Source organism: Homo sapiens, chromosome 5, assembly GCF_000001405.40.
Source record: "Homo sapiens chromosome 5, GRCh38.p14 Primary Assembly".
Lineage (NCBI taxonomy): Eukaryota > Metazoa > Chordata > Mammalia > Primates > Hominidae > Homo > Homo sapiens.
This window is the reverse complement of record NC_000005.10, coordinates 78,207,928-78,234,553: the sequence shown is the minus strand read 5'-3', so window position 1 is coordinate 78,234,553 and position 26,626 is coordinate 78,207,928. Positions and strand designations below refer to the sequence as shown.

At 34.3% G+C, this 26,626-nt stretch overlaps 1 protein-coding gene and 1 pseudogene across 3 annotated transcripts in view, besides 1 other annotated feature; one reads left to right on the top strand and one right to left on the bottom strand.

Annotated features, from left to right (window-relative positions):
* AP3B1 (adaptor related protein complex 3 subunit beta 1) overlaps positions 1–26,626 on the top strand; it is a 294,177-nt gene that overhangs the window by 60,145 nt on the left and 207,406 nt on the right. For all 3 annotated transcript variants that reach the window (NM_001271769.2, NM_003664.5, NM_001410752.1), the window contains exons 4-7: positions 6,315–6,410; positions 7,022–7,182; positions 8,946–9,012; positions 18,317–18,499. In NM_001271769.2, the coding sequence (NP_001258698.1) occupies positions 6,315–6,410; positions 7,022–7,182; positions 8,946–9,012; positions 18,317–18,499 (507 nt within the window). The remainder of the gene's footprint in view (positions 1–6,314; positions 6,411–7,021; positions 7,183–8,945; positions 9,013–18,316; positions 18,500–26,626) is intronic.
* ATP6V1G1P6 (ATPase H+ transporting V1 subunit G1 pseudogene 6) lies at positions 11,931–12,299 on the bottom strand (annotated as a pseudogene).
* Positions 12,402–12,511: an enhancer, noted in NCBI's record as "active region_22704". NCBI's record gives its function as "activates an Ori minimal core promoter by ATAC-STARR-seq in GM12878 lymphoblastoid cells {active_cell/tissue: GM12878}" and the evidence as "EXISTENCE:reporter gene assay evidence [ECO:0000049][PMID:35858748]".

The window sequence follows — 26,626 nt, the reverse complement described above, 5'->3', positions numbered from 1 at the left end:
TGATATATTGACTGCTGTTAATCAGTCAACCACGTGTTAATTGCTTTCTACCATTGCTGTATTCTTAGGAACTTTAAATCTAGTTGAGGAAAAAGTCATCTATCCTCAAATAGTTAGAGAAGCGCTTCTAAAACTGATCTAAGAATTTGAAAAACTTATATTTACACTTAAATATAATCTGAAACATTAAGTATAGTTTGAATCATTTGGTTTCCATCTTATACCTATATTTGTATTCTTGTGTAACATCACTTGGTTCCAAGTGATCATTTAAAGGAACAGTGTTTCACAAATATGTGTATTTTGGGTTTGAAAAATTCTGAAGGTTGAGAAGCACTAATTTAAACCAAGAAAGTGTAAAGAGTCTAATCGTGAATATAGATGGAAAGTACATTGATAATAGAGATGGGGTTCTATGGAATGAAGTCATTACTACCTTTTACTACAGTTGTAAATTTCTTGTTGGATTTTTAATAATAATACTGCAATGATGTCATTTTCAAATGAGAAGATGTGCAATTGGGGTTAAAAAACAGTGATTTAAAGCATTCTTCTTTTATAAATGTATATATTATAAATAAAATATAATTTTTTTCCTAGGTTTTCAGATGCTCTTAGGGGAAGAGTTGTCTCCTCTTTTGTTAGGGGTACCTTAATAGAAATATCTGCGGACTGCCATCATAGGCCACAACATGTAGTAGTTAGGAACATGCCCCTGTTTGCATCCTGATTCTGCACTTGCTAGCTCTGTGACTTTGGGCAAGTTATATAAACCTCTGAGCCTTACTTTCCTTATCTTTGAGAGGGAGATAATTGTACCTAGGATAGATATGAGAATTAAACGAGTAATATAATGTAGATGTAGGGCCTTACACATTTAAATTCTAGCTGGAAAGTTATAGCAGATTGAGGTGAAGAACAAAAGCTGTCGCAGGCAGTTTTCCTTTCATATTCTGTATTTCCTAATTAATTTTAATACTAGCCAGAATGACAAGGGTACTTTTAGAAAAGAAAGGCTGGGCTGGGCGTGGTGGCTCACGCCTGTAATCCCAGCACTTTGGGAGGCCGGGGTGGGCGGATCACCTGAGGTCAGGAGTTCAAGACCAGCCTGAACAATATGATGAAACCCCGTTCTCTACTAAAAATAGAAAAATTAGCTGGGCGTGGTGGCATGCGCCTGTAATCCCAGCTACTCTGGAGGTTGAGACAGGACAATCGCTTGAACCCAGGAGGCGGAGGTTGCGGTGAGCTGAGATCATGCCATTGCACTCCAGCCTGGGCAACAAGAGCAAAACGCCGTCTCAAAAAAAAAAAAAGAAAAAAGAAAAACAAAGGCTGAGGAACTTCTCCAGATGAAAGAAGACCAAGGAGACATGAAAACTTAAATATGATGCATGATCCCAGATCAGAAAAAATACTATAAATATAGGATGTTATTGAGAATTTCTAAATATGGATTATTTATTAGATAATAAATAATGCACTGATGTTATGTTTCCTGAATTTTATAATTGTAGTGTTAGCAATTGAAAAACATAGATGAAGGCGGCCGGGTGTGGTGGCTCACGCCAGTAATCCTAGCACTTTGGGAGGCCGAGGTGGGTGGATCACTTGACGTCAGGAGTTCATGACTAGTCTGGCCAGCATGGCAAAACCCTGTCTCTACTAAAAATACAAAAATTAGCTGGGCGTGGTGGTGTGCACCTGTGGTCCCAACTTTTCGGGAGGCTGAGGCAGGAAAATCATTTGAACCCAGGAGGCAGAGGCTGCAGTGAGCCGAGATTGTGCCACTGCACTCCAGCCTGGGAGACAGAACAAGACTCTGTCTAAAAAAAAAAGAAAGAAAGAATAAAACATAAATGAAGCCTATATGAGGCTTCAGTGAACTAGTCTTGGAACTTTTCAGTAGGTTGTATTGAAGGATGATATCTGAAATAAGACAATTTATTGCTTACTATAGCAAGGGACAACTGTGCTTTTTAGGCACAGCTTCTCTGGGCATAGAGATTGCTGATATTATTGTGGATTATTGGGAAGGGCAGTCTTCAGGGATTGATGGACTTTCAGGGTCCTAAGTGGGTTGATATCATCTGTAGATGCATGGTCATGTGGGTGAGACTGCTCTTGATTGATTGGCACTCAGAGGTGGGTGTATGGGAGTGCAGTTGTTCCTGACTGGCTAACTTTCACAAGCAAGAGGCTGAGCAAGAAAACTTGTTCATTCAGGTGCCTTTTTATTGTTCTGTAGAACAGGTTTAAAACAGTTCTGGTGGCTACATGTTGCCAAGGCTTTAGAAAAACCTGTCTCTCCGAGGAATGTGGGAACTTAAAAACATTACCAATTTGAAATCTTTTTATAATTAAAGAATTTAAAGTATTAGAAGAATCACAGCACTATTATTTTGTTTTGAGGGCCATCTGGAAAGATGAGATTCACCCCTATCGTGAAATATCTTTATTGTTTTATCTGACCCCAAAGTAATTAATATTCCTTTAAAGATAATATAGAAGGATGTAAAGAGTGAAAGTCACTGGTTAATACCATCACACAGAGATAGTTACTATTAACATTTTATTGTATAGATTTCTCAATTTTGTGCTTACTTGACTTGAATCTTAGTTCTTCTATTTAATAGATACGGTACTTTAGTCAAGTTACTTACCCTGTCTGTGTTTCATTTTCTTATCTGTAAAGTAAGAATAAATACTTGTTTATTGAGTTGTGAGGATAAAATGAGTTAATTTATGTAAGACATTTAGAACAGTGTCTGACATGTAGTTAATGCTACCTATAAGGATTTGCTATTATTACCATATTATGTCCATTCTAAGACATATGTTTGCTATTTTAAAGTTTCTGCAGTTGGGATTTAACTTAACAACTGGTGGTGATTACGATGGGTAGTGTTTTCTGTTTGTTTGTTGTTGTTCTTTCCTTTGTGGTCCATAATATAATGGTATGTTTTACAATTGGTGGTCTATTTAGATTGCATAAAATACAGTATGTGGGCATCTATTTTTTTTTTATACAGAAGTGAGATCATACAATGCATACTCTTTTACACCTTTAAAAAATTTTAGGCCAGGTATGGTGGCTCACACCTATAATCCCAGCACTTTGGGAGGCCGAGGCGGGCAGATCACCTGAGGTCAGGTGTTCAAGACCAGCCTGGCCAACTTGGTGAAACCCCATCTCTACTAAGAATACAAAAGTTAGCTGGGCGTGGTGGTGCGTGCCTGTAATCCCAGCTACTTGGGAAGCTGAGGCAGGAGAATCGCTTGAACCTGGGTGGCGGAGGTTGCAGTAAGTCGCGAGATCGCCCCACTGCACTCCAGCCTTGGTGACAGAGTGAGACTTTGTCTTAAAAACAAAAAACAAACAAACAAAAAACCTTTTTCAAGGACATATTTTCTTTTCTTTCTTTTCTTTTTTTCAGATGGTGTCTTGCTTTGTCACCCAGGCTGGGGTGCAGTGGTGCGATCTTGGCTTGCTGCAACCTCTGCCTCCCGGGTTCCAGCAATTCTCTTGCCTCAGCCTTCCCAGTAGCTGGGATTACAGGCATGGGCCAATACACCTGGCTAATTTTTTTGTATTTTTAGTAGAGATGGAGTTTCACCATGTTGGCCATACTGGTCTCCAACTCCGGACCTCAGGTGATCCGCTCGTCTCAGCCTCCCAAAGTGCTGGGATTACAGGTGTGAGCCACCGTGCCTGGCCACAAGGATATATTTTCAATGTCATACAGATTTATTTAATTTTGTATAGTGGCTGAATAGTATAGTGTTATATGGAGGAACTGTCATTTGTTTACTGTTTATCTACTAGGACTCTTTATTGTTTAATTTTTGCTCTTGTGGAAGATTTTAATAAGTGGAACTTGGGGAAGTGGAACTTGGTGAAGCGGGATAACTTGGGATAACCTGAGTGGAGATTGAGATAAAGAGTGCAAGTTATATTTGGGGACTATTTCTGTTTGACTAGGAAAGGAGGTTTCGAACAGATTATAAACTGTATTGAGTACTAGGTTAAGAGCTTTAGATTTTGTTTTTAAGGTTTTGTGGAGCCATTCAACATTGAAGAGTAATTGGAAAAAGGTTTTTTCATTTCATTTATAACTCTACCCGTATAGTATAGATGGATTGATATCAACTTAAAATGGTTGTGTTTAACATATTTATCAATGATGAAGATGTACAAAGTTTGTTTGCTCATTAAGTTTTCATTTGTACTTATGAATTGAGAAATAGTTTGGATTATAAAATTATCATCTCAAATTATCTTAACAGGGTGCCAAGATGTGTTGAATCTAAATTGTTGACAATTTCTGTAGATAAATGGAAGATTTTGCCTTTCATTTAAAATAATTTTAAAAAAATTCCGTGAGGACAGTTGGATTTTGATTTGGTCAGCAGTACATTTGGAAAAGGTGTATGGTTTTAATCAAGAATTAGTCATATCTGTGGAAGTACCTCATCTGGAGCAAGTTCTTATCTAGTTTGTTCTGTTTAGACTTTATTTGTAGTTTGTAGTGTCACGCTGAAAAAAATTGGAGTGAGTTTAGGAAGGAGCAAACAGGATGGTAGAGGAACTAAAGCTGTTATGTTTCACGAGAAATTAGGGTACAAGGAAGGAAGGTCATGACAGTTGTCTCTAAAGTAGTCCAGATTGGTTAGTATGACTGGAAATATGATCCAGTATAGTACTGTTTTTATATTTCCAGCACCAATTCCAGCTATCTCCAACTTTTTCCCCTCATTTCTTGTGTTCTTTGAGTATATAACTTTTTTTTTAATTTTAAATTTTTTAAATTTTTGAGACAGAGTCTCTTTCCAGTTGCCCAGGCTGGAGTGCAGTGGCACAATCCTGCCTCACTGCAGCTTCGACCTCCCAGGCTCAGGTGACTCTCCCATCTCAGCCTCCCAGGTAGCTGGGACTACAGGTGCATGCCACTGTGCCTGGCTAATTTTTTTTTTTTTTGTTTTACTAGAAATGGGATTTCACCATGTTGCCCAGGCTGGTCCTGAACTCCTGAACTCAGGCAATCTGCCTGCCTCAGCCTCCCAAAGTGCTGGGATTACAGGCGTGAGCCACTGTGCCTGGCTGAGTACATAACTTTTAGGTATATACTGTGTTGGTATCTTAGAAGGGTAATCAGGAATGTGAAGATATTTGAGAAGGTAGATACAGGCTATAAATAGTGCTAGAAGGAAGCAATGGATAAATTTCAACTCAAATTCTAGTTTTTGTTTATTTCTTTTTCTGTTCATAATTTTGTTGTAAACTTAGTGATTAAATTACCTTTAAAACTTGTTTTCAAGGCTGGGCATAATGGCTCATGCCTGTAACCCCTGTGCTTTGGGAGGCTGAGGTGGGAGGACCAGTTAAGCCCAGGAGTTTGAGACCAGCCTGGGTAGGCAACATAGGAAGACCCCGTCTCTATAAAATCCTAAAAAAAAGCCGGGTGTGGTGGTGCATACCTGTAGTTCCAGCCACTGGAGAGGCTGAGGTGGGAGGATGGCATGAGGCCAGGAGGTTGAGGCTGCAGTGAGCCGTGATTGTGCTATTGCACTGCACCCTGTGCGACAAAGCAAGACTGTGTCTCAGAAAAAAAATCGAAAACCAAAAAAAACTGTTTCCAGAACACACATCCAATCTTCTTGAATTTTTATTACGTTAAATTGGTATTCATAGTCACACATTATTCTTACTGGACTGAAAATATCATGTAATGCGTGTTGAAATGTGAGTATTACCATAAAAATCAGAGTTAGGGCTCTGGACTCTTTTAACAGATGAGGAAACAAGTTCCCATAACATATAGTTAGTGGCCTGGGCCCAAATTCTTTCTCTTATTATTTTTTAAAGAGGTAGGGTCTCTCTGTGTTGCCCAGGATAGCCTCTAACTCCTGGGCTCAAGTGATCCTCCTGCCTCAGCCTCCTGTGTAGCTGGGACTACAAGCATGTACGCCATGCCTGGCTTCTTTCTTTTATTTTTATCCCTCATTTTGAAAATATTTTTACAATTTAGTTAATATTCTTATATGAGATCTGCTCAGGGATTTTTTATTCCCTTCAAGAGGAAGGGACACTTTGATAGGCTATTGCTATTGTGAACTGGACTATTAAAATGCTTACTTTAAAAGCTTTTCCTGTTGTACTTATTATCCCACAAAATATTATTTTTATTTTACAATCTAACATGTGACCAGATTCAGTTATTTACTTGAGAAGAATTGAGCATGGATTTTGGTATAGCAAATACTGAGTTTTAAATTTTCACTCTGGTTATGAATAAATGATTTTTTTTTAACAGATCAAGAAGTTGGTATATGTTTACCTGGTTCGATATGCTGAAGAACAGCAGGATCTTGCACTCCTGTCCATAAGCACTTTTCAGCGAGCTCTGAAGGTAAATAATGGAGTGAGTAGGCAAATAGCTACAAGGTTTCTGCAGAGTTGAAAGTGTGTCAGTTAAAGAAGTGGAGCGATAATCCACTAAATAGCACAGTAGTGTCTTGAAAGAGTTAAAAGCCTCCTATAGTGCCTACTCAGTACACTTAGAAAATAATTTATACAACCAACTGAAACCTTGCTGTATATGTTACAGCTTCTGTATGTTTGTTTATATTCAATATAATTATTTTCATGCTTCAAAGAGCTGTTTATCATTATACTAGTTGTTGAAAGTACGCAAAAGGGGTTATAAGACATTTTTAAACATGAAATTGATGACCTGCAGCATTTTATTATTATGAAAGTATAAAAACCCAGCATATTTAGTAATAAATGACCAACTAGAATTATAACTATTACTTTTCTTTAAAACATTATTAAAGAAGTAAACATTTATGTCTGTCTTTTTTTCCCATTCCTATATACTAATTGTTCATTTTAAATTAAGTAGCTTTCTTTTGCTATTGTCATATTACACCCTTTAAGCACCTATTAACTGTGTCTGAAAGATATGTTTAAAATATTGTAAAGTTGAAATTTTGGTGAATATTTTTGCACTATTTTTAGGACCCAAACCAACTAATTCGTGCAAGCGCTTTGAGAGTTCTGTCAAGTATTAGAGTGCCAATTATTGTACCTATCATGATGCTTGCTATTAAGGAAGCTTCTGCTGACTTATCACCATATGTTAGGAAGAATGCAGCCCATGCAATACAAAAATTATACAGGTAGGTGCATTGTTAACAATATACCAAAGATCTCTGATGTTACATGGAATGTTATAGACCACAGAGGCTTGTTTTATTCGCTCTTTTAGGTAGGCTGCTCTTACACTAAGTAAATCCAGTGACTGTATGATGGTATTTCCCCCTGCTGCAAATGTTCCTTACACATCTTTAATTTCGTTTTGGCTATAGAGACCCTATGCAGGTTTTTATTTGTGAGGCTGTTAGAGCCTGTGATAATTTATAGATTTTATAACTTAAGAATAATCAGAATTTGAATTCTCATTTATATAGTCTATCTCATGTACACATATGCTTGTATTATTAGAAAATTGAGATTTTTTTTTCCTGTTTAGGGTAGAATCTTAAGTGTCTGATCCTCTCAACTCACTTATATGTGTTTTCCTTTCTTCCATCTTTGTTCCTGCTGCTCCCTTCGTTGTCTAATTCTTTTCCAGAGCTATTTTATTAAGTAATTTTAAAAAGTGTAGTGATTTGAAATATAGTGTGCTATACCATATCTGTGTGATATTTTAGAAATGTTATGCAATATTATACAATGCCCTGATCTCTGTGGAAAATTTACTGTCCAAATAGAATTGTCTACAACAATTTGGTATTATTTTCAGCTATCATTTATTCCTCAAGCTTTTTGAGACTCTCTTCTGTTTCTGGTGTTGTATTCACAGTATTGTGCTATGTGTATTTAGATGTATGAAAACAGTAGAGGATGTGGCACTTAATTATGAATAGCATATCATGTATTTGAGGAAGAAGATCAAAGACATACCAAATAATTAAAGGCAATCTATAATGAATAAGATATTAGCACTTGATATATATGTATATACAAAGGTACACTAGCAATGTCTTTGATAGGACAGGGACCAGAGATGATCATATTTTGTTACCGGAAAGTAAAGATGTAATGAGATGGGATTGGTAGTGAAATACTGCTTTGAGAAGGAAGACTTAAGCTGAAATTTGAAAGAATTAAAAAGTTTGTCCAGATAATTATAATGTTTAGTAATAAATGTGTATGTTTGTAGAAAGTGAAACCTCATATTCCTATGTTAACTGCCAGACAAGGTTTTATCATGCTTCTCACTCACCTTTTCTCCTTAGAAACTTATGGGATAAGATCCATGCTCACTCTAACGGCTTAAAAGTCCTTCTATCATTGGGCACCAGTATATTCCAGCCTCAATGCTTGCCTCTCCTTGCCTTGAGCTTATAGTCTGTTAGTATTCTATCTCAAATGTTTTAAGCTTATTACTACCTCTTATTTTTCCTAGTTTTAGTTGGCAGATTTTATAATGCATGTCTCTATCAGTGAACTAGTATGATATAAAATTCTTATTTGGAAATTCTCCATATTTGTTTTTGGGAAGTATGTATGCATAGTAAAATAATGACTGCTATCTAGTTATTTTTTTCCTCCCAGTTGAAAAGAGTTTGTGGTTTATCTACTTACAGTCGCTTTCTTGAAGTTTTCCAACTCTTTTAGAAGTGAACTTGTTCTTTCAGTACTATCTTAACTAAACCATTGATATCTGGTTTAGTTAATATGAACAATATTAGAGGGAAAGATGAGGACACATTCATGAGAAAAACCATCCCATTTTATTTGTTTTTCTTTATTTCTAACTTATAATTCTTGCTCTCCTTTCCCTCTTTAAAAATTTCTCAACATCCTTGAATTGGTGAGCATCATGTAAAGCTAGAATTAAAGGGAAAAATTAATATGTTATTTTTGTATTTTTTAGCCTTGATCCAGAGCAGAAGGAAATGTTAATTGAAGTAATTGAAAAACTTCTGAAAGATAAAAGCACAGTAAGTAATGTCTTTTTACGTCTTTGACATAAAAATGTACTTTATTTACATAGTATCATTTACCATTATATATTTTATATAGTTGTATTTATTGATTTCAAAATGGTATAAATATTAATGGCACACAGGACTATTTTTAAAGAACAAAAATTTTCATGTAATGAGAAAGACTGCATTTGGAGTTTTAGATCGTTATGTGTTTCTTCATCAGAATCTGAAAAAAGGCAAGTTGAGAAAAAAATCTTTAACCTGTGGCTAAGTGGTTAACATGGTAAGATCAAGGAATAGAGGTGACCTATGGGGGATGTGAGTTACTAGTGTACTAGTATCTTAGATGGGGCTTTTGTACCCACTTTATATTTCTCAAAACTACTGAGGAAAAGGATTCCAGCTCATCTTAGGATGCTATCATCAGGGAGTATGTACTATCTATGCATGGCAGCTATCTAATACAGTAGGCAGTAGCCCTGTGTAGCTGTAACTATTGGTTTATGGCTTAGCATTTGATCTATCCTGGATAATGTTCAATAAACATTTGATTAGAATGTGTATTCTGCTGTTGTTGAGTGGAGTGTTCTATAGATATCTGTTTTTTAGTGTTGTTCAAATCTTCTACTTTGCTGATCTTATGCCTACTTGTTCTATTCATTATTGAAAACAGGGTATTGAAGTCTCTTTAATTCTGTTAGTGTTTGCTTCATCTATTTAGGAGATTGGATGTTTGGTGCATGTATGTTTATAATTTTTTTAATCTTCCTTTTGTCATTGTAAAATGTTCCTCTTTATCTCTAGTAACATTTTTTTGTTTTAATGTCTGTTTTGCCTGTTATAAATACTACTATTCTAGCTTTTTTATGGTTGCTGTTTCCATTATATATCTTTTTCCATCCTTTTACTTTCAGCCTGTTTATATTTTTGCATCTATTGTATGTCTCCATAGACAGCATATAGTTGGCTCTTGTCTTTTTATCCAGTTTGCCAATGTGTGCCTTTAATTGGAATGTTTAATCCATTCACACTTATTGTTGTTATTAATATAGTTGGATTTTAAGCTGTCATTTTACTTGCTTTTATATGTTTCATGCCTTTTTTGTTCCTTATTTCTCCTTTATTGCTTTTTCTTAGATTAAGTGAATATGTTCTAGTGAACATTTTAATTCTTTTCATGGTTTTTTTACTATATATTTTTGAAAATATTGTCTTATACATGGAGATTATACTTGTAGTTTCATTCCTAGACCATTTAGTAAATTTCTGTTAGTCTGTAGTGTACCAGAAATCATTATTGCATTTCTTCTATGCATAGTTGGTATAACGTAGGAGGTAACTAAATATAGATTGATTATAAATGAAGATAGAGAAAAGAAATTTGATTCCTTTTTGTCTTCTGTATGACAGGCATGCTATCTGCCAGATATGAAGTCAATATTATTAATATTATGGTTAACTTGATTTTAATAATTTAAAAAAATACTTAGTGCTTTTCTATTATAAGTGCAAGAGATTGGCTAAGTACCATGGAGAGTAGTAAGATCTACAAGAAGCAGATCTGTCATTTTAATGAGTTTTACCATCATTTCTGCTACATTATAGACTAAGAGAAATTCTTTGGATGGCCTGGGAATGAACTCTCTCTGTATAATATGTGCATGTCTTCCCAGACAGGATACAGCATATCATAGGTAAAAACAATAGCGTTTGAATCAGATAGAACTGGCTTAATGTCTGAGCGTCTGCCACATAGTATATGTACCAATTCTTTATGAGTTTTAGGCTCCAGATTTGTAGGGTTTATAATATCTAATTTATAAATTTGCTGTTTGTGTCGAGAGAAAGAACTATTGTATATAAAACCCTCAGCACAGTGCCTAACACCACATGGGATGTGATTAAAAATTCCAAATAAGAAATAAGTACTCAAAAAGATGTAAAGATACAATATCTGTGTAAAATTGGAATGTCTGTTTCCAAAATACACCAGAAAGTAAAAAATATTGAATACTTGTTCATCACAGGTATTTAATATTTGTTGAATGACTGTTGAATTAATTTGTTACATTCTTGGTGATAGTAATTAAGTGTGTAGTATCGTTTTTAATGTCTCCCTCACCCCCCTGCAGTGGTTTCATGCTCAGTGTTCATAGGTAGATTCTTTGGGGGCTTTGGTGGCCTACCCTTTGTGAGGCACTCATTTTTCCTAAAGTGTTATATACTATATGTTTATTTTTTTTAATTAAGAATACATATTTCTTTTTCTGTCTATAGTAAAAAACAAAGTTTTTACTGACACCTGTAATTCTGGTGGTATAGCACAGAGTTCCTTCCAGCCTCCTTCCTTTTTATATTTGAAACTGCCTATTCAACATTAAGAAATGTGGCTCTGGCCACGCACCATTGTTCATGCCTGTAATCCTAGCACTTTGGGAGGCCAAGGTGGATGGATTGCTTGAGTCCAGGAGTTCGAGACCATCCTGGGCAACATGGTGAAACCTTGTCTCTACAAAAAAAAAAAAAGAAACAAACAAACAAACAAAAAAACAAGAAACAGGGCTCCTATTTCCACAATCTGTTTACATTTTTGCTGAGTCTCAGAATGCAGAGAAACTATTGCTTCAGAATTGCTAGCACTGTACCTCTGTGGGGTATACAGTAGCATGGGGCCTAATAATTAGAGTTAAATATTTAATTAGAGTTAAATATTAGTTTAGAGTTGTTTTTGTCTTTAATCTTTTTTTTAATGTATGGTAAATCAAAATTGCTTCAACTATTTATATCTTTGAACTCGTTGTGTTGGTATGTAAGAAAGCTATTGATTTTTTTTGAGTGATAAATTTTATATTCTGCTTTTTTACTGAATTCTTCTATTGTTTGAGTTAATTTTCTCATTCATCCTCCTTGGGTTTTTTTTTGCATGACAAAGAGTCTTTACTTTTAAATGATTATCAGTACACCAAGTAGTAACATGTAACAAGTTCTTGAATTCTGTCCTCTTTGATTAAGTAACTAAAACTGGCCCAAACAATTATACTAGTGTTCATTGTTCTAACCACTAGCAGGAATGGACTACCAGATATTGCAGAAAAAGGCCAAGACTTCACCCCTCTTCTGCCTAAACTGCTTCCAGATGGTTCTCTTCTCCTGGGTCTCCTCTACTTTAATGCTGCAGCTGCCTTGGGATCGCAGGGCAGCAGCCTCCTTGGCCTTGAACTCTTTCTCCCTCTGCAGGCAATATTGTTCAATTTCACCTTGAACTGCTGCTTTGGCCTGCTTCTCCCTCCGGTTCTTTCACTGCAGGTCTCAGACACCCTTTTCAGCAACCTGCAGCAGCTACTGGATCCCCTGAGACTGACTGGCCATGACAGCACCAACTCTGAGGCAGAAGCAAGCAGCCTAAATCTCTCTCTCTTTTTTTTTTTAGAGAATGAATCATATCTGCAAATAGAGATGTTTTACTTCCTCTTTTTCAGTTCCTAGAACTCTAATTTCTCTTGCCTAATTATATTGTTTAGTGCCATCACTACAGTTGTGTTCAATAGTAGTGGAGATGGTGGGCATTCTTGCCTTGTTTCAGTCTAAAGGAAATGCTTACATTGTGTTTGCATTAAGAAAGATGCTGGCCCTGAAGATTTTATCTTTGAAATATAGTACTTTTGCAAGGTACTTCAGGATTACTTGATATGGGTCAATTGTTTTGCCTTGGTACTCAGTGAGTCCTTTCAAAATGTAGATTCAGAATTTTTATTATCTCTGGCAAAGTGTTTTTTTTTAAGATTATAATTTTAAATATTAATTCTGTTATTTTTTTTCTTTTTCAGGGATTCCTATTTTATGCACATTGGATCTTCTTTGCCTGTTTTACATTCCAATCATTGTGTCTCTAAACCTCTTCTTTCTTTATCTCATTTTTATTCTTTTGGTTCTTTTTCTACCTTTCTTTAATACCCCTTTTAAAATTTTCATTCAGTAATTTTATTCGAAGGGCACCTTGCAATTTAGTCTTCACATCTGATTATTTTTGCTCTCTTGATTTCTTTCCTGTTGTCAATCAATCCTGATTTCTTTTGTTAATTTATAACTTTAAAAAATTTATAATTTATATTTATATTTCCTATCTTCAAATGCTTCTCTTGAGGGTATTTAATTCATTTTGAAGTGTCGTGTTGTTTCCTTTTGCTTCATCATTTATATTTCTTTGTCGGTAATTTTTGCCAGTTGAATTGTTTTGATTTTCATTTTCTGTTTTTAGTACTTACAGATTACTTGCATCTTCTTATTTCTTTGGACAGGATTGGTGATTTGATTTTGAGGTAGCTTGCAAGATTCCTAGTACAAGAGTACCCTCTCTGTTAGAATTACAAAGTATGTTTTCTTAGTAGATGGCCTTTTGGTGGGAGGGCGTGCATGCATAGGACCAGTATATGTCCCCAAACTATTTCGAGATATGTTTTGTAGCAGCCTAAATTTTTCTCTCTTCTTTTCTTTTCTGCCTAAAAAAGAAGGGTCTTACTCTGTCACCCAGGGCTGGAGTGCAGTGGTGTGATCATGGCTCACTGCAGCCTCGACCTCCCCAGCACAAGCAATCCTCCTGTCCCAGCCTCCTGAGTAAATGGGACTATAGACATGCACCACCATGCCCAGCTAATTAAAAAAAATTTTTTGTAAAGATGGGGTCCCACTGTGTTGCCCAGGCTGGTCATGAACTCCTGGGCTCAAGTGATCTCGCTTTGGTCTTGCAAAGTATTGGGATTACAGGCGTGAGCCACTGCACCCAGCCCCTCTTATTTCTTTTTTTCTGTTATTTCACAGTTTCCAAAGGACTGCTCTCCCCTTACTTTTTTTTTTTTTTAAGCTAATTTTCTCCGTGAAACTTTCCCTTTCTACACTACCTCATTGAATCATCCTCTCTTTCAAGTCTTTCCCTTATAGGCTGCTCTGATCTACCAAGAATCTTTTCCAGTATTTTCACACTTAGGGTGTTCTTTCTCTTTCTGTTGTTGATTTTCGTTTACTTTTAGGCCTGCCATTAACTTCTGCTTGCTTTGTTCCAGGCAGTTTTTTTTCTATACTGTTGGAGGTCTTTGTGAAGTTTTGTGATACAAGCATGAAAATAGTTATCTGGAATTTAGGGTTTATATTTCTACTTATATATAATTTGAGGTTTAGAGATTCTCTGTTTTGAAGTTAGGCTTAAAGCATGGGTTTTGGTCCCTTGTTGTTTTTTTTTTTGGATTTGGGTTGGGAGATTCAGACTTACTTAGGCATCATCAACTTCTCTACCCAGTATTTAAATTGGCTGTATTTTGTGAATGTTTTCTGGTAATTTTTTCTTTTGTGTGATTATAATCCATTGTAGAAAGGTTAAAAATATTCTACACAGATATTTGTGGATCATATCTTAATTATTACCTTTTTTTGGTCACATGTAATTCTTCATTGAAGGAAGACAGGTACATTTCTCCCCTGCCCCCCACCACCAAATTTTTAATGTCAGCATTGGCATTTAAAATCAATAGAGGATCAAAAATCACTTTCATTTAAAAAATCTCCCAGTTAAATGTACCAGGTCTAATTTATTTCCACATTTTGAAAAGGAATTTATTTGTTGCCAGCAGCAGTTTTTTGGGATCATTATTACGATGATGACATTGGTGTTGCTGCTGATACATATACATTTGAAAGATGTTGATCTATTAAACTTTCTTCATTTAACCTCTGTTGATTTTGAGGCATACCATCTGTTGCTTCTTTTAGGCTAGAGGATATTTTCTTTCAATTGAGATCTCAAAGAAAATTAGTTCCATAATTCTCATTTTAAGGAAAGGTGGAATTATAAATATATTAAAATATAATAGAATGGCTTTTCTCTTTTACTAAAGACCAGTATGTGTCATATGAATAGTTTTTTCCTAAAAATAGAACATTTTAGTGTTATTTAGGTAAAAGATATTACAGAAACCTTACAACTGTAGTCAGTGAACTTAAAAGGGGGCATCTAATCTATATTCTGTCATCTCCAATCAACTGTTACCATTTTTCTTTATATGAATTTTTATTGTTTATTCTTAAATTTTATACCATTTTCATCTACCTTCTCAACATGTCCTAAACACTTTCCTACTTTACTACAAGCCTTTTCTAATGTTCACGTATGAATTTATTTTTAAAATTAATAAGTTTCTCTTGTTTTTCTTTAAAATGTAGCAATCCATATTTGTTGACATTCTTTTCTTTAGAACACTTTAGAAGCAGAGTGGTATTTATTTCCTTTTCCTTTCAAGTTAATCCTAAATAAATCTTTTTGATAACATCGAACTTTCTGATAGAAAACAGAGTTTCTTAGGAAAACAAATTAGGTCAGTGCCTGCTGAAAAACTGATTTATGTATATATTTTTGATGACATAAAATTTCCTCTTTTTGATTTTTGCTATAAAATTATGTTTAATGAATAGATTGGTAGTGTATAGCTAAACCGTAGGGATAAGACACAAATTTTAAGTTATTGATTTAATGTTGATAAAAGCCCCACCGTTATGTGCAAAAAACACACCCCTGAGTTTGTACAGATGTTTTATTGTGATAGATCTATTATCCAGCTATTAGAAGATAAATGACTGATCTTTCCCATTTTCCATGCCTCAAGAAAATTGAAATAAGAAGGGGAATATCATTTGGGCTGTATGATTAGGGAAGGTTGGATGGCCATTAATTTAAGGGAAGAAAATCTTGGCAGCATTGGCCAACTTATACCATATTATCAATCAAACCTTGATGCACTTCTTGTGATGACCCAGCACTCTCAGGTTTTTGCAATGTTAATTAGAATTCATGACAAAATAGATGCAAGGAAACGTTTTGTACCCTTCATAATTTTATAGAAAATTTATTGTTATTAGAGGAACCATTTGCTTAGTGTGATTTTTTTCATTACCAGCTTGTCAACTAGCATAGATAATCTAGAGAAAATATGAACTCCATAGATGGGGTGTCACTTTTGTTGATGGTTCATGTAGTTTACCTTGGAGCACAGCTAATGGCTGAAGTTCATAGCAACAGCACAGAAAAACGTGGCAACCAAGGGAAGATAAATGAACCATGTTTATTGCTTTAATATAAAAAATACATAAATGGAAAACTGCATTTGAATTTGATGAGCTCATTGCTGGTTTTGTTGGAGTGATTTATTTTTTCCCTGATATGAAAAGCTACTATTGACACAGTGAGATGGAAGTTAACTGTCTGTTTTTTGGAAACCAGTATTTTTGGTTTTAAAATCTGAGTAGATCATTTAATTTTAATTCTGAATATTTTATAGAATATTGAACATTTAATAAACCAAAATTATTAATTTTCCTTGTAGTGTTTAGCCCAGGGTCAGATTGTTAAAACTATATGATTAAGTATCTAAAATGATCAGTTTTATTTTGTAAAAGTACTCTCTTTATATGCTTTTTAATTATTTTGATGTTTTCTTAAACTTTATTTGGTTCTATTTAATTAATGATATTTGTTAGTACCTTAGAAGGTGTTAGTACTTTAGAATTATTGTGTACATGTAGCTCTTGGTTTAATGAATTTAATATTATATGGTAGCTGATTTTCCATTTAATTGTTTAGTATCAAAACACATTTGGAAGAAAATAATTGCTAAGACAGAATAACTTGATTTTACATAGTATTTTAAAAATTGAAACTGTGAATTACCTGTTCAATTTCATGGATCATTTTATCCTAGATACTATCCTTTATTTTTGCACTTTAACACCCTTTACCAATTGATGTTGATATTAATATAAGGTTGATAATACATATATATAGATGTTTATATCTCACAATGAGTTATTCTAGAGTTTAATGTCATAAACTTAGTTGTAAGATATTTTAAAATGATACTAATTGTCACTTTATAGAAATGTAATTATCACAAAATGTAATTTCTAAAGAAATTATGTCTTTTGCAGAAGACATCAAAATGTGATTGAAAGCATGAGCTTAACTTCCTTGCCATATCTATAACAAATAGAAAATTATATATATAATACATTTTTATATAGTTCACACAAATAATCAATTCTGTGCTTTTTCGATTGAGGTGCATACATGCTGGGACCAGCAGGCACCAGTACATGGTTAGGGCTGGAGTCAATAAATGCAGCTTCACGTTTATACTGATTGGTAATTCATAAAATCCCCACAGGACTTGAAACTTGTTTAGCATAATAGCGAGTCTATATTCTGAGCTGTTTTCTTTCAATTGTATTGTTGGTTGCATATTAATAAACTAAATGTCAGCCAACTAGAGGGACAAACACTCAAAATATGAATATCATTGTATCTAATATTTTTCAAAAAGTACCATTTCAGTAAGTTATATTTCTATTTAATTGCTTATTTTAAGTCATTGGGGAAATTTTAGACACTAAAGTGAAGATCCCTAGTGTTCAGATAGAATATGGTATTAATTTGTTTTTCAAAACTGTATTATATTGTGGGCTAACTGCACATATATCATTTGTACGTATAGAGAAGTATTTGTATAATATATATTCTGCTTAGTTTGTGTCTTTAGAGTAAAGGAATCTCAATGTTACCACTTTGTAAAAGCATCACAGTTCAGAAACTAACATTATGATTCATTAACTGGTGTTGGAAGAGCCCCCTTTTGTTAGTAATATATTATTCCAACTTATACACATTGTTATGAAAGTGATAAGAGCCCAGGTGATGTTCTAAAATTTCAGCCAGTGTGTTTTCTTTGTAAATAAATTATATTGGGTAAAAACCGGTGGATTAAGATGTATATGATTTGAAAGTGTTCTTCTATTAAAATTTATGAATTTCTCATATACTTTTTAACATAAGTTCATTTTAGAATGATTGTCGTTCTCATTTTAAACTGACACAATGTGAGCTTTGTTATTGTCTTGATTCTTTTTCTGAATATTATGAACAAAGTACTGAATTTTTAGATTAGAATTTAGGTTAGCTTTAAACATGAAAAATGTGCGTGATTAATGTTTAATCCACATATGAACAATGTGTTGAAATTTAACCTGGTGAAATAAACACATCAGAATTTACTTCTCTTCAGAATAGTATTTTCTAGACATATTAGAACTATTAAAATTATTCTTTGACGAATAGTCACCATAAAGTTTGTTATTCAAACATGAACATTCATTTTAATTGAATGACTGAATACTTTAATACTGATTGGCATGAAACTGATTACTATAATGCCTGAGTAAGACCTTTGATGTAGGGGAGAAACATTTTTTAATAAGTTACTATTTCTTTCTTTTCTAGTTGGTAGCTGGCAGTGTTGTGATGGCTTTTGAAGAAGTATGCCCGGACAGAATAGATCTGATTCATAAAAATTACCGCAAGCTATGTAACTTACTAGTGGATGTTGAAGAGTGGGGGCAGGTTGTCATAATCCACATGCTAACTCGATATGCTCGGACACAGTTTGTCAGCCCTTGGAAAGAGGTAAGTGTTGAACAGTCTTCCACTTTCAAGTATACTAAGAGAATGGATGAGCTTTTTAAAACTTGGGCAAAAAATTAGGAGTAGTAAACTAGAGAAATCTGCATATTTAAGGAAGACTCATTTGTCTCTTGTTCTTTTACTAAAGCAGGCAACCAATATAAATGCAAGCATAATTATCCATTATTTTGGCACTGATTGATACATATTTATTGGTGTAAGTATATACACTTTTAGTTTGATACTGGCAAGAGGCCCTTGTTAGGAGGAGCAGCATGACACAGTGTTTACAGTGACATTGCCAAACCATGGATTTTTTTGGTTACTAGTTACTTTCACGTCTTTGAGCCCCAGCTATTCCAGGTACTCATTTGTAAAAAAAGTAGGTGATGTGCTCCTATAGCATGTGAATTTATACCTAAAGTAATTAATTTCTTGCCTCTATAGATAAATATTGTTGAACTTTTAAACTACTTTTTCCTAGTTTTGTATTTATAAAATGTTTGTGTTCTTCTCTTCACTTTAGCTGGTAGCATTTAGTAAAATTAATAATTTAAGTGAAGCTATTTGTTTTCTTTGTGCAGATTAACATTAGAAGTACGCCTTATTCTTTTTTTTAAGTATGCCTTATTCTTTTCATCATATTGACAATTTAGAAAATTTTATCATATAACTTGTAATTAAGATCCTTAGGATGTATACATTTAAGATTTAAGGTAATTTTAAACCAGTTTAAATAAATCCTTAAATGTTGTAAGAATAGCACATTCATTCTAGTCTTTTGATGTCTTATCTTTTTAAAATACAGTATTATAGATTTTAAAAACCAATTTGTGTAAAAAAAAAAAAGATTTTTAAAAAGCTCCTGTTATATCAAAGTGGTCTGTATACATACTTATGACAGGCCTTGAGTGCTCAGTACATCTTGCTTTTGTTAATTAGAAAAATGTAAATAACATGGAAAAATGTATGATACATGCTTTAAATGACACATCAAGCTTGCAAATTATTATAAAATGTTGATCACTATTTTCTATATTGATTTAGTATTAGCATTAAAAACTGTTTAGAAATTTTAATACTTCTTTATCCACAAGACAGTAATACTGATTTTCATCTCACTTTTAATATTAACAAAATGATGATTATGTTATCCATCTTAAAAATTGAAGTATGTTTTGAATTATTAATATGTAAGTCTTATGTTACATAATGCTCTTAAATTGATGAAATTTTACTATCCTTGTCAACTTTAATTTTATAAAGTTAATTTTATTTATCATTGAGCAAAGTACAGTTTTGATGGCACTTTTGCTAGATTAAGGAACATCTCTATGATGAAAATGTCCTGGCCCTTTTATGATAACTTTGATGAGAGATTTTTGTTGCCAAACAGCTTATTTGTTTGATTTCAGCCAATTCCTTTCAAAACTTCTGCTCAGATTTTTTTTCTATTGTATAAAGTTATAGGCAATTTTGCCTTAGCTAATCACTGTCACCATTTAAATTTTTAAATTTTACTTTCCTATCATTTTCAGTAACTATATGCAAATGATCCTTTGCTTGTAATTATATAGAAACTGGAGTTAAAATATATAGTGTACTTACCATACCTGCTAAAAATATGTAACCCGTAGTAAAATCTCTGCTTTTGTATATTTGTCTGTTTATTTGTTTTTCTGTTCCTTGAATTTTATCTTATTTTAGATAAAATTTATTTTTAAAGCCATTGCAAAGGAAAGTTAAGTTTTACACCATCATATACATTTGTTTTTTGACAGATAATTTGAAAAATTGGGACTGTATTCATTCTTGGTGTTTTCACATGTTAACTCCATGAACATGAATTAGGACAAACATGAGGTGAAGTCTGGTCATTGTCCCTGGCATACTGGAATGGGCTAAGTCATTTCTTTTCTTTGCCACTTACTTGCAATCCAACCTTGGAATTATTCGAAATGCTGTGCTCATTAGACTAATTTAGTGGTTTTCCAGTGTGCACATCAGCCCTCAGGATGTGCTAGCACTGCCACAGGAACGAGCCAAGCAGGGCAGGGGTGCTCTAGACTGTGCAGCTTTTTGGGCTTTTGCCACTGTTTCAAACACAGAAGCCTTTTTTGCCTTCCTTTCTTATGCAGCGTTGAATTTGATTTCCTTTGAGAAAGATCCATTGGCTTAAAAGACAGATAGAAAGAAAACCACTTTAAATAGAAGATTTATAAGTTTAGCTAATTTGATTCCTATTATTGTTGTTGTTGTTTTTTAATTATAGAAGCAATTCAAGTACATGTTCCCTTCTCGTAACCTCTTGGTTGACGCCTTAGAGGCAATTATTGGTAACTGTTTAATTTCAGTTACTCTGGTGGTTATAAATTTTACTTTGGATAAAACATTTTGCTTTATTTATTAATTTAAGTTGATATCAGTTGACCTCAATTCAAGGAAAAATTATTCATCGATTGTGTAAGTGCTATTTGAGGGTCTCGTTTAGCCCAGAATAATCAGTATAACAGGCTTTTGTCTACATACGTACATATGTTCAGTTCAGAAGCAGTGTGAAAGATTTGAAAGGCTCAGCCCTTATTGCAGTATTAGAATCAAGGATTGTACAATATGTTAGACTCTTGTTATAAATATATTTTATAAAATTAAGATTCAAATGAGTGGTCAACACTAGGACCATGTCTGTGCTCTCACTCTTCCAGTTAACCCATCTCAGGCTTCCTCTGTGCTAATTATGATTTTGTTTTACTGAGAAACTTTGGAGTGAGCAGTGTAGCCATTTATAGTCTTCAGTGCTTTCTGATCTAGGCTTGATGTTGCTTCCAACTTTTTAGCGACTACACATGGTAGTTTTAGCTTTAGAAGTTGGCAGACGAGGCCGGGCGCGGTGGCTCACGCCTGTAATCCCAGCACTTTGGGAGGCTGAGGCGGGCTTATCACGAGGTCAGGAGATCAAGACCATCCTGGCTAACACGGTGAAACCCCATCTCTACTAAAAATACAAAAAAAATTAGCCGGGCACGGTGGCGGGCACCTGTAGTCCCAGCTACTTGGGAGGCTGAGGCAGGAGAATGGCATGAACCCAGGAGGCAGAGCTTGCAGTGAGCCGAGATCGCACCACTGCACTCCAGCCTGGGTGTCTCAAAAAAATAAATAAATAAATAAATAAAAATAAAAGAAGTTGGCAGACTAAATCTCAAAGCAGAGTTTGACCATAGCTAGAAGAAACTGAGAAGTATTTGGCATTTATATTTGCTTGCTCTTTCTTATGTGATGTTGTAAAAGGAACACCATGTAGTAAAGAAAGGTTAAGATGATTATAGAATAAAAAGACAAGGTGAAACAGTACTCTAGCAGAGGCATTCCTGAGAGTTTACCTCTCTTTTTTATCCTTTTACCATCAACACTTGAATGTGTTGTTTCATGGAATCATCCAAGTAGAAATGTCTTCACTCTAGCCCTCCATTCCCTTTTACCTACAGGCAGAAGTCACTTACATAAATGCTATATAAGCACCATTTTATGATGAATTAAGGGCCATTTTACCTTGAAGTAAAGAATTTGCCAGTAGGAAAAAGTGTCACTAAAACAATGTATCGACATAAAAGTTAAATTTATAATTAAAAAAACCTGCCTGTAATACCGAATTCATTTAAATCCAGCAGTTTTCTCTCAGATACTAAGAGAAAATGTGAAAAATAATACTGTGATGCTTTATACTTAATGGCTTATCATTTTTGCTGTACTTTCTTTTCTTCTTTGTTTTCCTTTTTTGGGATAGAGTCTGTCTCTGTCACCCAGGCTGGGGTGCAGTGGTGCGTTCTTGGCTCACTGCAACCTCTTGCCTCCTGGGTTGAAGCGATTCGTCTGCCTCAACCTCCCAAGTAGGTGGAATTACAGACATGTGCCACCACACCCAGCTAACTTTTGTATTTTTAGTAGAGATGGGGTTTCGGCATGTTGGCCAGGCTGGTGTTGAACTCCTGACCTCAAGTGATCTGCCCTCGGCAGCCTCCCAAAGTGCTGGGATTACAGGCGTGAGCCACCATGCCTGGCCTGTACTTTCTTACATAGTATTCCATTTGCCATAGGGCAATCAGAATTATTATACCCATTTTATATATGAAGAAATTGATATATACAGATTTTAGCAAGTCACTTAAGACAATATTAATTATAAAAGGTGGAGCAGAAATATAAACAGAATTATCTGATGCCCAGGCCAGCATTATTGCCTTTATATTTTGTTACCCTGTGACTTGTAAATTAAAATAATTTCTTAGTTACCTTAATAAGTTTTCTGTGTTTGTTTATTGTGTTCCGGTCAAAACCAGCTTTGAGGCTCCCAATCCATAGTGCTCAGACATGCAATTAGCTAACAACCATAATTAAATTTGCTCTCAAAGAGAAAAATCATGTTTCCTATTGAATTTTTGCAAACATTTGTTTACGTTAATATGCTTGAAGTGTGGCAAAATTGTTTTTTGTTGAGGAATCGAAAATTCGTAGATACACTTTTTGAGATGAGCTGATGTACATGCTTTTGTCAATAAGTTCTCAAATGAACACATCATATACAAACAAGCTTCTTCAGGGGCAGAAGAGATTTTTAATTTAGTTTATTTGCATCATTATAGATCAGTATTTAGGCTGTTTATATGTAAATGTATGATTTGAGGAACAATTAAGTGTTGACAAAGTAGATTGCAGTCATATCAATTGCAGTGCATTTTCCATAATTTTTCTAACTGACATCTTTGATGATAAATAGTGGATGTCAAGTCAAAGCTGATTATACAGTGCACTAGGAATTCATGGGGCTGTCAGGGAGAAGACCGATTGACTTTAAATTTACATATTAATGAGAAGATTTGTTAAGAGGGTGCTTGACTATAGAAAATAACGGCGTATTTATAGGGCACGACATTTTATAAATAAAGCTGATGCAGGAAAATGGAAATTAAACCTTTTAGGTTAATAAATTCAAGAGACTGCTAAAATGCACATTTGCATTTTTATTTTCTTAAATTTACCTTACTCTTTGCAGTCCATGTGGGTTGTTTTTTATTCTAGGTCAAGTTTGTATAATTTTCAAGGATATAAAATTGTTTAAGTATTTTATTTGTCATTCAAGCCTATTATGGGAGATTTCTTGAAGCATAAACCTAGATCTCTAAGACTAAAGTTGCTTTTGTAAAATTAATCGATTTAAAAAAATAAATATTATAAAACACAGAGTAAATTTTAAGAGTGATTTAAAATAAAAACCAACATCTGTTAGTGGCATCAATTGTAAACTGAAAGGAAACTCTGACACTGGGGCCTGCTAGGAATGTTTTTAATTGCATGAATCTAGCTTTTTACAACTGAACTTTCTCTGGGAGATGAGAGGTTTTCAAGAATTATCAAAATATTTTACTTCAGTGATTTGGAAGTTAAAACTCTAAATATTTACCATTATTTTTTAGAATATGAATCCGGGTTATGTAATTCTGGTGGCAGTATTTATGCCAGTTTAAAATTTGGAGTAATTAATTTTGTCTCTCTCTGTATATCTGTACATCAATTATAAAACCTTACATAAGTTTAACAAAGTCCAAATTTAGAATTTTGTTTAAAGTATTTTTAAGGTAAGTTCTTAAGTTTTTCAGTGGTAGCCATAAAATAACTTATCAAAATCCAAAATTTATAAATGTAGTTTTTTGATGAGCAATTTTCTGTAGGTACAGAGGTACTTCAGGGAAGTACTTCATGAACTCCACATCCAGATCCTGTCTTAACGGACCAAAATGTTAGAGATTATTGAGTTTTAATTTTCTTTACTGATTAATTTTCTTTGTTAAAACAAATTTTGTCATGTGTCTTACCAATGGACTATAGATCCACGATTCTGTGGAATTTATTAAAAAAACAAAATACTGAGAAGTTGTGGTAGAATACATTCTTTACAATGCAATAAGAGCAGTTTTTTGTGCACTGTTTTAAGTAACTGTTGACAAAGGGTTCAACATATAATTTAAGGTGAAACTAAGGACCATGATCTAATATTGAAATAATGTCTCCTCTCTTCCCATTGGTTATGAAGCATTTATCGTAAAGATTCCGTATTCTTTTTGTTGTTTATAATTTATTCCTATTGATTGGAATTTTTTTTAACTCATGAAGTTTTCTTTTTTAAAAAAGAAAACTTTAAATTTTACCAAGGAACATATGCATGGTTTAAAAGAAAGAAAATGAATAGTACTACAAGGCTTATGAGAAACATTTTTCTGAGTGACCCTTCTCAATGTCTGAATTAGCTTCCTCAGTTCTTTTCCCTTCTGTGTGTGAGCTCAAAAGTATCTGAGCCAGGTCTCAATCAATTTAGAAAGTTTATTTTGCCAGAGTTAGGGATGCACCTGTGACATGTGCAGCCTCAGGTGGTCCTGATGACATGTGCCCATGGTTGCTATAGCTTGCTTTTATACATTTTAGGGAGGCATAATACATTAGTCAATACCTGTAAGATGCACATTGGTTCAATCTGGAAAGGCAGGACAACTTGAAGACGGGGCTTCTAGGTCATAGATGGATTTAAAGATTTCTGATTGGCAATTAATTGAAAGTTAAGTTGTTATCTGAAGACCTGGAATCAATAGAACGGAAATGTCTGGATTATGATAAGGGGTTGTGGTGACTAAAGTTTTATCTTGCAGATAAAGCCTCCAGGTAGTAGGCTTCAGACAGAATAGATTATAAATGTTTATCAGACTTAAGGTCTATGTTGATGTTAATGCTGGTTGGCTTTTCCTGAATTCCAAAAGGGAGGAGGGTGTAATGAGGCATGTCTGACCCACCCTTCCTATCATGGTCTGAACTAGTTTTTCAGGTTAACTTTGGAATGCCCTTGGTCGTGAGAAGGGGTCCCTTCAGGTGGTTGTGGGGTAAGAATTTTATTTTTGGTGTGTGTGTGTGTGTGTATTTACCTTTCTCCATTTCTAGGTAATAGACATATATTGCTATTTCTTGATTTATCAATTTTAGGCATTATGTATTGACTTCCTATTATAGAAATGGAGAATTTGTCATTCTTCTATTACCTTATGCTTCTGCTTACCTCTTTCATCTTTGGAATATATATATTAGAATTTTTTCAATCCATAGGTGTTCATTTTCCTATGATTTATGAATATTATTCAGCTGTATAATAGCATTTCATCTCTTGTGGAACTTTTGGTTCTTTTTGGAATCAAAAATTGCTTCATTTTAAATTTGCTTACTTTATCATGTCACTATATGAAGCATTCCAAGTTCTCCATTGGAATATTAAATATTCTCCAAATATTATTTTATGTGCAGTTGTTGTGATACTTCTTGTCTACCCAATGTCAGTTCTACCCCTCCCACTTATTTAAATAACAGGATCCTGATTTTGTTCAGAGTAGTTATATGCCTAATGAAAAATAATCAACATACTAAATTCCTTTAGAGTCAGAAATGGGTCCACATCTGGAAATTGGGATTCTGGGGAAGCTATTGTTTTTCTGACAGACTTATTTGACATATGTATATTTTACCCTTTGCCCTTTCTCATGATTCCTTCCCAGAATGCATGTGTGATGATTAGAGGTGCAGTAGTCATGTTACAAGCATAAGGATAAAACTATATTCTGGGGGTGGGCAGAGCTGAAAAACAAAGTGTTTGGGGCAACTTTTCATTTTATGGAGCTACCTAACTAGATATTTCTGTTATATATAGCTGAACACAGTTCTGACTAGTACAGTTGTCAAGTATATCAAGTATTTCAACAGCTTCATTTTCTTCCCAGGAGATATGTTCCTGGAGTCTTCACCCTCTGTTCTAATCTGATTGCTTACTAGGCCTGCACAGTTCCAATCTGTTTTTCTAGAACTTAATTTCATGTCTCTTCTGTGTTGAATCCTATTTCTTAGGCTTTCTTCTTCTCTCTCTCTTTCTCTCTCTGTCTCTCTGTCTCTGTCTCTGTCTGTCTCTCTCCTTTCTTTTGGTTTTCCTGGCTTTGGAGCATATCCTCCAATGTTTTCTTAAGAGTGGGTAGATGGGAGATAAAATTTTGAGACTTTCAGTGTCACTCTCACACTTGATTGATATTTTACCTGGGCTCTTGG